This window comes from Homo sapiens, chromosome 3 (genome assembly GCF_000001405.40).
Source record: "Homo sapiens chromosome 3, GRCh38.p14 Primary Assembly".
NCBI classification, from domain to species: domain Eukaryota; kingdom Metazoa; phylum Chordata; class Mammalia; order Primates; family Hominidae; genus Homo; species Homo sapiens.
In genome coordinates, this window is record NC_000003.12 from 167,355,597 (window position 1) to 167,368,850 (window position 13,254).

Genomic DNA, 13,254 nt, shown 5'->3' on the forward strand with positions numbered 1-13,254 from the left:
TATGTGGCTTTCAAATATATATATTCACTCATTATCCAGTCAGCATAACCATATGCAATGACAGATGCTAAGAACACAAGATAACATCAGAGTTTAACAATACCATGGTCTACTTCACTAAATCTGCCTAATTTGAATTTTTAAATAGCTTTTTATTATGTTTTGACAACTAACATGGGATATTCTTTTTATTCAAATAAAATAACATTCTTTCTCAAAATCATTTTAAAGAATGTTTAAATTCTTTATTCTAAATTCTGGCTTGTCTACACAGTGTTTTTCAGGTAAATCAGCTGTTTAATCACTGCATACAATGTCACTCTCCTGTGCTTTCCAGCCAAGGCACCTGCTGCTTATCTTGTCTGGGACATCCTTCTTCTTACTTTTCCTTCTTTCTTGAAAAACAGATCCTTTATTTTCGGGTCAAGCCCTATCTACTTGTGTCATACTGTTCAAGTTCCATGGCTCAAGTGCTTACCACAGAGTAGGAGTCACAAAAAATATTGACTCATAGCTCCTGTATAATTCGTTTTCAGATCATTAGAAGCAGATCCCAACAATTTAATTCAACCTGTAAGTGCCTTTTAGCTTTCACACTTTTAACTTAGGAAATATTAGCATTTGTTTATAATTTTTACAAATTTCTGGACAGCAATTTTTTTAAGATTCCTTAAATTACTGCCAAACATCATATCAAATAAGAAAATAATATAATGTAATAAGAAGAGTATTCTACTACCAAGAGCGGGGGTTTTACATTTAATATTGTTATTAGCTCTTTATTAGATGTGCAGCATTCGAACTCAGAGTCCAGTTAAAATTGCCATTAAATAAACCTAACAATATAGATTTAAGTCAGAAATGATTATGGCTAAGTTCTCTAAAACTGTAACATAATATACAAATATTAGTATACATAACCATTAAATTCTTTGAAGAGGAAACTGCTTTTTACCTATGTGTTATATTTAAAATTGCAAATGATGCTGCAGTACCTTCAATGATAACTGAAAGGAAAATATGTGTAAATTAAGAGAATGTCTATATTATGAAATAGTTTCAAAGAAATAATTCATTCATTAAATATTTGTTGAGTGCCTACCACACTGCAGGCATAATTCTAGGTGGTAGGCACACAGCAGTGAACAAAACTACACTCCTACCCTCATGAAGTTTACATTGCAGATAAGTAGAAAATAAATAAACATATAATCAATGATGATCAATATTACATAGACAAATGAACTAGCTTCACAAAACTGGAGAGTGCAACTCAGCTTTTACTATTTTACAAAGGGCTATCAATGTAAGTAACATTTGAGTTGATATTTACTGATATGAGGAAACTGTGAGGGAAGACTATTTATTGGAAAAAGATTAAGGGCTTAATTTTGAACACATTAAAATAGTGATGCCTATTAGACATCCAATAAAGGTGTTGAGTAGGTAGATTGAGCCAAAACTTCAGGGGAGAGGTATAAGGTGGATGTGTAAATTAGGGGATGATCAATATAGATAGGGTCTTTAAAGCCAACAGAGGGGTTGAGATTGCTAAAGAGTAAGTATAGATGGACAAGATTAGAGCCCTGTGGCATTCCAACATTAAGAGGTCAATACAGAAAACCAGCAAAGAACAGAGAAGAAACAGATATCAATGTCAAATGAAATCAAGAAATCATAGTGTCCCAGAGGAAGCCAGCTGAATGAAGAAAGTCATAGATAAGGGGAGGGATACTGTACTATAAAATATTCCTAATACATTAAGAACTGAGAATTGACCATTGTATATGAGAATGTGGAAGTCACTGGTTGACCTTGACAGAAACAGTTCCTGGATAGTAGTGGAGACCCAAGACTGAATGGAGAGAATTCAAGAGAGAATGGGAATCCAGTGATTCCAGTTCTAGGTATACACCCAAAAGAACTGAAAGCAGGGTCTTAAAGAGGTATTTGTACACTCATGTTCATAGCAGCATTACTCACAATAGCCAAAAGGGGGAAGCAACCCAAGTGTCCACTAATGGATGAATAGTTAAACAAAATATGGCACATACATACAAAGGAATATTATTCAGCCTTAAAAAATAAAGAAATTCTATAAATCATGCTGCTATAAAGACACATGCACACGTATGTTTATTGCGGCACTATTCACAATAGCAAAGACTTGGAACCAACCCAAATGTCCAACAATGATAGACTGGATTAAGAAAATGTGGCACATATACACCATGGAATACTATGCAGCCATAAAAAATGATGAGTTCATGTCCTTTGTAGGGACATGGATGAAACTGGAAATCATCATTCTCAGTAAACTATTGCAAGAACAAAAAACCAAACACCGCATATTCTCACTCATAGGTGGGAATTGAACAATGAATACACATGGACACAAGAAGGGGAACATCACACTCTGGGGACTGTTGTTGAGAGGGGAGGGATAGCTTTAGGAGATATACCTAATGCTAAATGACGAGTTAATGGGTGCAGCACACCAGCATGGCACATGTATACATATGTAACTAACCTGCACATTGTGCACATGTACCCTAAAACTTAAAGTATAATAATAATAAAATAAAATAAAGTAAAATAAAAAAATAATAAAAAAAGAAATCCTATCATTCCACAATATGAATAAGCCTTGAGGATACTATGCTAAGCGAAATAAGCCAGTAACTAAAAGGCAAATAGTGTATGATTTTACTTATATGAGGTAGAGTAGTCAAATTCTCAGAGACGGAAAGTAAAATACTATTTACTAGGGGATGGGGGGAATGGGGATGGGGAAGTGATTGTTTAATGGATACAGAGTTTCAGTTTTGCAAGATGAAAACAGTTCTGTGAATGAAGCATAGCAATGTTAATATACTTAATGCTACTAAACTGTATACTTAAAATAGCTAAGTTGACACATTTTATGTTATATGTATTTCACTATAATTTTTTAAATGTTCATGAAATTGGTACCAATGAGAAGTTAAAGAGCAGTCAGAAGTCATAATTTTCTGTAATTTTTTCATTTCACATTATAGCTTTTAAGAGAGGATATATAGTCTAGGCGTGGTGGCTCACACCTGTAATCCCAGCACTTTGGGAGGCAGAGGCAGGCGGATCATGAGGTCAGGAGATCGAGACCATCCTGGCTAACATGGTGAAACCCCATTTCTACTAAAAATACAAAAAATTAGCTGGGCGTGGTGACGCGTGCCTATAATCCCAGCTACTTGGGAGGCTGAGGCAGGAGAATTGCTTGAACTCTGGAGGCGGAGGTTGCAGTGAGCCCAGATTGCGCCACTGCACTCCAGCCTGGGCAACAGAGCAAGACTCCATCTCAAAAAAAAAAAAAAAAAAAAAAAAAAAGAGAGAGAATATGTCACTTGTGAGAAAAGAAAAAAAAGACATACACAAATGTCCATAGCAGCCTTAAACATAATAGCAAAAATATTGAAACAACCCAAATGTCATTCAATGTATGAATGGATAAACAAATTGTGTTATAACTGTACAATGGAATACTACTCCATAATACAAATGAACACATTACCAATAAATTTAACATGGATGAATCATGTGGAGCAAAAGAAGCCAAAAGTATATACTATATTATTCCATTTACATAAAGTTCAAGAACAGATATCACTAAATCTATAGTGTTAAAAATCAGGACAGTAGTTGCCTTGGTGTTGGGGACTGATTGGAAAAGGCACATGAGAACTTTCCAGGGTAAAGGTAATCTTCTAGGTCTTGATAGAGGTGGACACATTAATCAAAAGGCATCTGACTGTACATTTAAGTCCATCCATCTCATAGTAAATTATGCCTCAATATTAAAAAAATAGACAATGGGAGGATAGAATATGATGACAGCAAGTATAGACAACTCTTCAGAAGAGTTTTACAATAATGGGGTGCAGGCTTGGAGGTCAAAAAGAATTGTTGTTGTAGTTTTGGTTTGGTTTTGGTTTTGGATGGGATATACTGCAACATGTTTGTGTGCTAATAGGTATGACTCAAAGGAGCGGAGACAAGGTCTAAGCTGATGTCTTTAAACAAGAATGAGAAGATGAGATTCAGAGAATAAGTACAGGTATTGACTGTCCCCAGCAGCATGCATGCTCAACCCACAGTAACAGTAATGAAGAAAAAGTATATGGCTACCAAGCAAGTTAAGTTGGGAGAGGTGTATGAGGCCATGTGAAAGTTCTATTCTAACTGCTTAATATACCTACTATACAGTATATGTATATATACTATATAACGTACATACCAGTAGAGCAGCTTTGTTCTCACACTGTCCACATACTTTCCCATTTATCTTGGGTTTTTCACATTCTGAAGAATTTGCCATTTTATAATTAACTGTTGGTTTCACTGGCTCTGCAAGATAAAAAATAATATTACTCCAATCATTTAAAAATATGTTAAATTTTCCAATTGATAAATTAATGAAACTATGCATACTTCCCATCTCTGTATCAAACTGAAGCCCACATAGAACAAATTCTAAACATTTATAATTATATATATTCATAATAAATATATGTATATAAATATATATTATATATATTTCTGAATTTTTTCTACCAAACTATATTAATCATGCAACATTTGTGTTTACTATCCTCCAGAAAAACATCTTATTTCCTTGGGAATTATTATAAATTCAAATTATATTTTTGGTTTTGCTATTATTAAATAATTTATTAAAATATAAAGCAATTTTTCTATTTTTAAAAATTTTCTAGAGTGAAATTTTAATTTATAATTTACACTGCTAAATTATCTTCCTTATTAAAACATTACATCAATAAAATTTAAGGAACAGTGCTGTAAAAGTCCTCACTTTTGAAAAATACTATTACTATAATCATGTACTAAGTTTACATTTTTTGACACAAAAGCCCCCCTAACCACCCGAATAAAATTTATGTTGAAAATCAATGTGTCATGATTTGGGGGTTTAGAATCTTTATACTGCCCGGACAATTCTAAAACTTTAACTTTATTTGTAATTACAATGTAAAAGAAAGGGATGTCTTTAGCATTTATTAACATGGTGATAAATTATTTACCTTGAATCTGTTCCTTCAGCAATTTTAATTTCACTTTTCCAGCAGAAAACTGTATTAATAAAATAGATACTATTTGTCAGGTATATATTATCTTATTCAACGAAAGTTGCCAACAAAAATATTAGAAAGCTGTAGCTTTGGTGCTTTTCGAACAAAAATTTATTTTTAAAGAATAATATAAAATTAATAGGAGATCATCATTAAAGCATATATGTACCTTTTAATTAATCTAATAGAAATTCATAAAAAAGAAAATAAATTTTAAAAATATATCTAAACCAGTTTTTGAAAACATAATTTGGCTTTTAAACAAAAACCATTATATCTCATTATGAAATTATTTGCTAGTATTCAAATATTGTAAAGGTTTAATACATCTTTTCTATTTCTGCTCTTTCTGAGACACACAGTCTAATATTTGTGTAAGCTGAATCTAAACTGAATTGTGACTAAGCTATTCTGCTTACACTACTATAGAAACCCATATTATTTTATTTGCCCAATTTAGAGAACTGCATGTGTAAGCATCACAGACTTATCCTTCAAAAGTATTATTTGTGATCACTGACTTTCCTAAATATTAGCCAAAAAAAATGAATAAATAAGATTCACTGCTAGATATTTCAAATAAATCATCACTTAAAATTTTGGGATTTTAATATTTTAGGAAGTAAAATACTCTTGCCAATTGAACATGCTTGCCTTGATCTTATTAAAACCAACATTTAAAGTACACAAACGAGAATGAAGGATGGTGTGCATTTATATAGATACTGTCAATTCAGGCCTAGTTTTCAATTTGCAATTTGCATGCTCAATTGCTCAATTTGTACATGAGAATCTGAGAACAATGACTGCCTCTATATCTATGGCTGTAGCAACTGCAGTCATCTGAAAATGTAGGCCTAATTATTCTCAGTGAATCTAGTGGTTTTGCTTCAAAGGGGCAGTTATTTTTCACATTCTTCAAAGTAACTGCTCAGATGCTATGTACTAAACACAGCAGAAAAGAAAATAAGATTGAAATCATCAATTTTTCTATGAACCACACTTTTATTTTTAAATTGCTAATGTTATACAAGTTACAGATAATCTAATCTCATTTTTCATAACCAAATTATCCAGTATGACTACCTTAATGATACATCTGAATTGAAACATGATCAGTGTGGTTGTAGGCTACCCTGGATGGAATGGATAGATATGCCCAAGCAAAATGAACCCATTATTAGGGAAATTGTATAATTTGTTTTTATTATTATGAATAATATTGTTCTGCTCTATGAATACAGCCATATTTATTTCAAGTGATTCAAACTGCATAAAAATATTTCAGTGAACAAACCTCTAGCTGCTATTTTTAGACAAATAGAATTTCCTCATAGGTCTGATTTTTATCTGTTAGGGAAAGGGTTGGAGGTAGGGTTGAACCAAGGATACACATGCTTACACAAACACACATATACACATATATGCGCATGTACATATACATATATAATACATGCATATGTATATATACATATAGATAGAAAGATGGATATCTGCATATGTTTGTATATACAAATGTCAGGAACTTAATATACTAAAGCCTATGCCTTATTAACATGCTGACTCCTCCACCAGTAGGTATTGAAGGGGTGCTATCAGGGGCCAGGAAAGCTTAGTGGATTTACCACACAGACATATTATCTATGCCACTGGGGTCAGAATATGCTGTCATCATCAGCCTCCCTGGCATTCACAAATACCTCCGAACTCCCACCAATGCCTTCATCTGCCACACTGAGCCCAAACTTCTCCTACAGTCATCTTTCAGACGTTCTCACTGTCAACCCAGTTAGCTACTGAAACTTCGCAATTCTGTACTAATTGTCCTTCCTTCCAAGCCCCCACTGCCATTCCGTGGATCTTCTATTAAATAGTCATTTATGTATCTTATGCTTTAAACCTTTCCCAAAAATGTTTCATCAAAAGTTTACATCAACTGAAAGCCACCTTTGCTTAGACACAATCTTCACCAAAGCACTTCCCACAGGACCTAGCCCCTTTCCACTTCCTTTCACATACCAGGAAAGAGAAAATTTTTCTATTTGCTCTTCAGTGCTGTTTCCAGAATATTATTGTGCTATCATGATTCAGCAAAGGTGCCTCTACTATAGGTCCCCACCATCCACTTATTGCTTGTGTCAATATCTAGGGTCTCTTCCACCTGAACTTCAGCAACCTGCTCGGTATTTCTCTCCATCACATTTCTGCTTGACAGTCTTAGAGACTTCAATGCACATGTTCACCTGACATCCTGGTTTGAAGACCCTCCAACATGCTGGCTACTGTGAACATCTAAATGCCTCTTCAGCCACCTCACCATTATAACCAAATCTGGCATGTAAGCAGCATTCTGAATAGCCACACCTTCAAAATCTCAGACTCTAAAGTTTTTCAGTGCCAACCTCAATCACCTTATCTCTTCCTTCTGATGCCTCCAATATCTATGTACCACTGTGATAAAAATAATACTATAGAGCCTCCTACAAATCCATGCTGATCAGCCTCAATGGGCTATATGGCTCTTTGGCAATCCATTTACTCATTTGCTGCTAATCCCCAACCACAATTCCCACAGTGGCTACTCCAAACCTCTTCATTCCCAAGAACTCAAATTCATCCCATTTCCCTTAATTCACCTGAGCAGACGATATTGTCTTCAACTGTCCTAAGAAAGTTGAGGTCTTCCCATTAAAATCTTTCAGTGTCCCACCTCACCACTTGTCAAAAACAATCTCTAAAATTTATTTTCATTGCCACCTGTTTTTTCTTCCACCTTTCTTGTCTCACACACACACAAAAAATATGTCTTCCTTTCCTTGGTGAAGGCCTCTTTAATGGACTACCTCTTCAAAGACCACACACCCAGCAACTGGCACCTCTTTCATCTACATTTTGACTCTTTCCTCTACTAGGATGTCCATCTTTCATTCTACAAACTGGCCCACATCATCTTGACAATTCTAGAAAAGAATATAATAAAGTCTTTCCTTGATTCTATTAAACCCTTGAAAGGTCACCAACTGCTTTCATGCTGGCTGCAACAATAGTCTTTACTCATTGCTTCCCACCGTTTTCTTTTCAACCAATTGAAATCTACTCTCTTATTTAATATTGACACAATCATCAAATTTAGGTCTTTTAAATATTTTCATTATCCAGAAATAGACATTTTAATGTAATGTTTAGGTATCATTACAAAGTGGTTTCACATATTTCAAGAGTTTTTGACATTGCTCAAAAGCTCTTTGAAGTGGTTAGTAGGTATTATTATGCAAGTTTACAAGTGTAGTAATAGAGGCTTGGAAAGGTTAAGTGAATGTTAATCTATATAATCTAATACAGAGTTTCTAGACCTCAGCATCACTGACATTTGGGGCCGAATAATTCTTTGTTGTGGGGATTGTCAAGTGCATTGTAGGATGTTTAGCAGCACCCCTGGCCCTTACTCACTATATATCTTTAGCAAAAAAAAAAAATACGCAAAAACAACAACAACAACAAAAATATACCTCTCAATGTTAACAACTGAAAATGTCTCCAGACTTTGTCAAATGTCTCCTGGGAAGCAAAATTGCCCCCTTCAGAAACACTAGTCTAAATAGATACTCAAAACTTTTTTCACTACACAATATATTGGACATTATTGACTTCATATTTTCCAAAAATGTTCTCCTTTACTTTCGTCCTTATAACATTGAACTACTTCGATTTTACTTCGCCATTCTTTTTCTTCTCAATCTCTCTTCACTAGAGAGCTGGCAAATTATCTTAGACAAGCCTGAGAGCTTACATGTCAAATCTTGGCCCTGACTTTTGACCTTGAGTGAGTTATTTAGTTTTTTTTTATATTAAGTTATTTCATCTGTGAAACTGGAATAATAATAACATCCTCTTAGGAGTGATATAAGCACTTAATGAGATAAGAAAGGAAAAGAAGCGAAACTGTTGACTGGTATTAAAACTTATTGAGCTTATTGAGTGAATATTAAAGTTCTCTTTGCCAATATAGTTTACACACTGGCTTTCTTTAAGCTTTATTCTTTACACCTCTCTATGTTTTACAAATCCTAGGGAGTACATTTACTCCCTTAACTTCAACTATCACTTGAAAATTCAAACAAAACTCTAAATGTATACCCCGTACTTTTCTAAGTCCTTTCTTTATGCTGTCTCTTAGTCAATCCAGCCTGTAATATCAATTATATGTTTGACTTCCTCCTCTCCTTTCTCACTGTTTTATGGTTCCATATTTTTCTTTATATATGTTTTCCTACCCTTTTAATTCAGCCTCCTTTCATCTGACCTCTAGATTATTTTAATAGTCTTACAAATAGCCTGTTTCTAGTGAGATAAGTTTTTTTTAAACGTTGGGGTCAAAACTTTTATAATTGATTTTTCCCTAAGATAGGGAATGACACCAGAGAATAAAACGCTTTCTCAAAGCCAAAAACTTTAGAAGCGCCAAGTAAGATCTTTGTAGATTCCAACTGACCCAATGAAAGTTTAATGATAGGTACGTAAAAAATAAAAACTGTGTAAGCTAATACTTACAAAGTCACGAATCTTGCACTAAAGAATCCAGAAGCAAAATTGTTTTCTTTATGTAAAGACACTTATCTGATTTTCATCTTAAATATAATATTATATTTTATAGCACACAGTAAAGGAGCAGCAATTCTATAGCTGGGAAACTGAAAAGTATTTTTTTCTTGAGTATCTTTACACATGGAATCAACAGTATATGAATAATAAATTATTATTGAAGCAGAATATAAAACATTAAACTAATGTGATATAAAAGTAGGAATAAAGTCTCTCATTTGTTATATTAAATAACAATAGCTTTCACCTTAGTTTAGAAGTATTTAGTTCTATTTTATATACTTTAAACCAGATCCACACTGAATGGAAAAATTCAGTTTGGGATGTGGGAAAATTCACTGCAAGGTAAAATTTTGAAATCAGTTTGTAGCTGAAAAACAAAAACATAATTGAATAATGAAAGTTGCATATTACCCTGCAAAATAAATCAACAAGTGAATAATATGCAAAGTTGTTAAAATAAGAAGAGTATATTCCTGAGTATAGAAGAAAATGCAAGACCTAAAAAAGAATATCTTCTTGCTTAGCAAAATGCATAAGAATCAAATAGTATCTTCTTACCTTAACAACATTTCCTTTATTTTGTGACATCATATATGATTGATTGACCAATTTGCCCACTTTTCCAGATTTCCAGTAATACTCGCTTGACCTTTAATATATATAAACAAGATAAAATGTAATCACTAAACACATTTCTCCCTTTAATGAAAAGAAATACAGTGTTCCTGTTTCAGAAAATGGAAATTCAGTTGTTAACATGCAGTAAACAAGCAAAACATGAAAAATAAATATCAATAATGTCACAATATCCTCAGTAATTTTAAAATGTAGCTTTATCATATTTATGACCTTTGTGGAGAAATGAATAAAATGAAATGTCCAAACACAAATGAAGAATTCTATTTCCTTGATATTCACAATGACTAAAGATAGCTTTATTGATTTGTAGGAAACTTTACAGGTCTTTATGAAATTTTAAAAGCTAAATGTCCACAAATGTAAAGAAGAAAAGCAAGCAAACCAATACCCCAAAATATTCAGTGGATCTAGTAAGTGATGAATTCCTTGTTAAAACCTCTAATGATCTCCCACATTGAAACATAACAGAGATTACAAAGAAGGCATACTTTAGCTGTACAGTTTTTAAAGCACTTGAGCTTTGTTTACTTGAGCATAACAAAATATTTTTGAAGTTATCAAGGCAGAGAGTCCAATTATCATTAAAAAATAACAATAAGACAAAAAGTTGCCCAACATCACACAGAATAAATAATTAAGATTGGAGCACTAGACTTCTATTTTCCTGGCTAGTGAGTGGCAGGTTCTCATTCTGGCTATGACATTTAATATCTGTGTGACCTCAGAAAACAATGTAACTATTCTGAAAACTCAGTCAAGCTTTAGAATGTTAAGAATCATCTAGAAAAGCTTCCACAGCTAAGAAAAACTCACTATCAGGGCTGATTCCAGCAACTCCGATTCTCAGATGAGTATCATGATCCATTTAGAAGTCCAAACTAAGTCCAAATCAGTGAAGGTAAAAGAATTGGCCACTGGGTCATTAAAAGCAGCAAGACACATAATAAACTTTGTCATCCTGGATGACATACAACATGAGATGCTCTGATTAAACCAATGCTCTATTAGAGGGGGTATGTATATAAGTTATGCATATTTTTCAAAGAAATGGACTCTAAAGATAAATACTACTGAAAGTATAATGAACACATTTGAATTGTCATTAAACGTTAAGAAGGTACTTCTAGGTATTTGATGGTCATCACTTTGAGGACTAAACAAAAGTTAATTTAATATACAAACAGTTTGGTGATATTTAGTACCAGCAAACGGACATGAAACATGCACTCTCATACACTGTAGGAAAAGATTATGAACTTTTGACACCTATTTGGAAGACAATTTCTCAATGTCTATCACAATGTAAAATGCAAATAACACATTGACCTAAAATTACAGAGGTAGGAATTTATCCCACAAATAGCTTTGCATATGTAAGCGAAAATACATGAAGAAGCATGTTCATGGCAGCATTTATAATCATAAGATACTAAAAACATAATAAAGATCTGAAAAATAAATGCTATTATATCCACACAAAAAATACTACGTAGCCACTAAGAAAATTAGGCTAATTTTCTTATCACATCAATGCATTCTGATGTGATAGGAGCATTAAGATATATTAAGTAAAATAGTAGGACATGAATTAATTCCCATATTTTTAGATGAACTCATTTGTAAAAAAAAAAAAGTAAACGATACAATATATGCAACAGATATACTCACTGAAAACAAAATACATTCACACACATGTATATACGTATACTTACACAAAGATAAGACATTTGTGGAGAAAATTTTTAGTCATTAAAATGGGTGCTAGAAAATGGGCTGGGAGTTAGCCTAGAGCTAAGAAGAGAGAATTTCCATCACATAATTATTAGTTCTGTTTGTTATCATTTATATTATTTTATAACAAAACAACAAATTCAGTATAATTAGTACAAATATATAAGCATAATATTAGAAAGTTCTCATTAATAAAATTTCAGCTAACCAGCATTTGCTAAATATATTTTAAATATACATAAGGGTTTGAGCAATTCTGATTATATATATGTATATATATATATATATATACATATATATATGTAATAGCATTTATTTTTCAGATCTTCATTATGTATATATATGTGAACTCTTGCTCCCAAAAGCTTTTGAATACATAAAAATGGCTCTAAACATAAACTGGTGTTTATTTGTTATTGATGGCAATTTTCTGAGAGCAAAAGGTAAAGTGTGCACTGCTGTCATAAACATTCCAGACCATAAATCAATGAGAAGCCAAAAGTTAAATAAAAAGGAAATAAGAAAGGATAAGACCCAATAATGTTCAGAAGAAACAAAAGTAATGGTAATTTTAAAAAGCAACATGTCTCATCTAAGTGGCACAAAAACAAAAAATAGAAGGCCTTTGCTATTGCTCGTTCATCAGGAAAAGTCAGAAATTATCCATCCATTAAATGTTTTTATTGGAATGACAACAGTATATAAAATAGTTCTTTATATAATTTAGTTGATTCATCTAAAATTCTCTAAGAGTTTCACTCACTCTCTATCTTCCTTTTCTTTGTTTCTTGTGGATCGGAATTCTTGCAGTTTCTTCTCCATCTCTTGGTTCTCAAACTCTAACTGTACTTTCTCCATTCGCAGTTCTTGAGCATTTCTGAAGACATAAGATTTAAATGGAGAAAGCAGAAAAACAAGCGAAGCCAAAATAATTTTATATAATCTTTTCCTGTTAAATTAGAATCATGAATAATAAATAAAATATTTTACCTATTTCTTTTGTACTTCTCCGAAATCTGGTTTTTAAAGTTAGCATTTGCCTTCCATCAAAATCCTGAAGCAAATTATCTCTTCAAATCTTAGACTTTTGTTTTAATTATTACATTGCTAGGGGTTCAAAATTATAATTAACTTCATATATAAGGCATGTTTT

General features: G+C 32.7%; 1 protein-coding gene across 22 annotated transcripts in view; it reads right to left on the reverse strand.

Annotated features, from left to right (window-relative positions):
* Positions 1-13,254, reverse strand: part of ZBBX (zinc finger B-box domain containing) — a 229,485-nt gene that overhangs the window by 177,195 nt on the left and 39,036 nt on the right. For 18 of the 22 annotated variants that reach the window (XR_924174.3, XR_924173.2, XR_924177.3 and 15 more), the window contains 4 exons: positions 12,865-12,978; positions 10,290-10,380; positions 5,079-5,127; positions 4,274-4,383 (listed from right to left, as the gene is read on the reverse strand). Coding sequence is in view for 19 of the 22 variants with exons in the window: in XM_024453753.2 (XP_024309521.1) it covers positions 4,274-4,383; positions 5,079-5,127; positions 10,290-10,380; positions 12,865-12,978 (364 nt within the window). In the remaining 3 variants the exon portion in view is untranslated. Of the gene's footprint in view, positions 1-4,273; positions 4,384-5,078; positions 5,128-10,289; positions 10,381-11,183; positions 11,329-12,864; positions 12,979-13,091; positions 13,209-13,254 lie in introns of those variants that run through there. The other 4 variants (NM_001199202.2, XM_047448951.1, XM_047448954.1 and 1 more) reach the window with 3 other exon arrangements.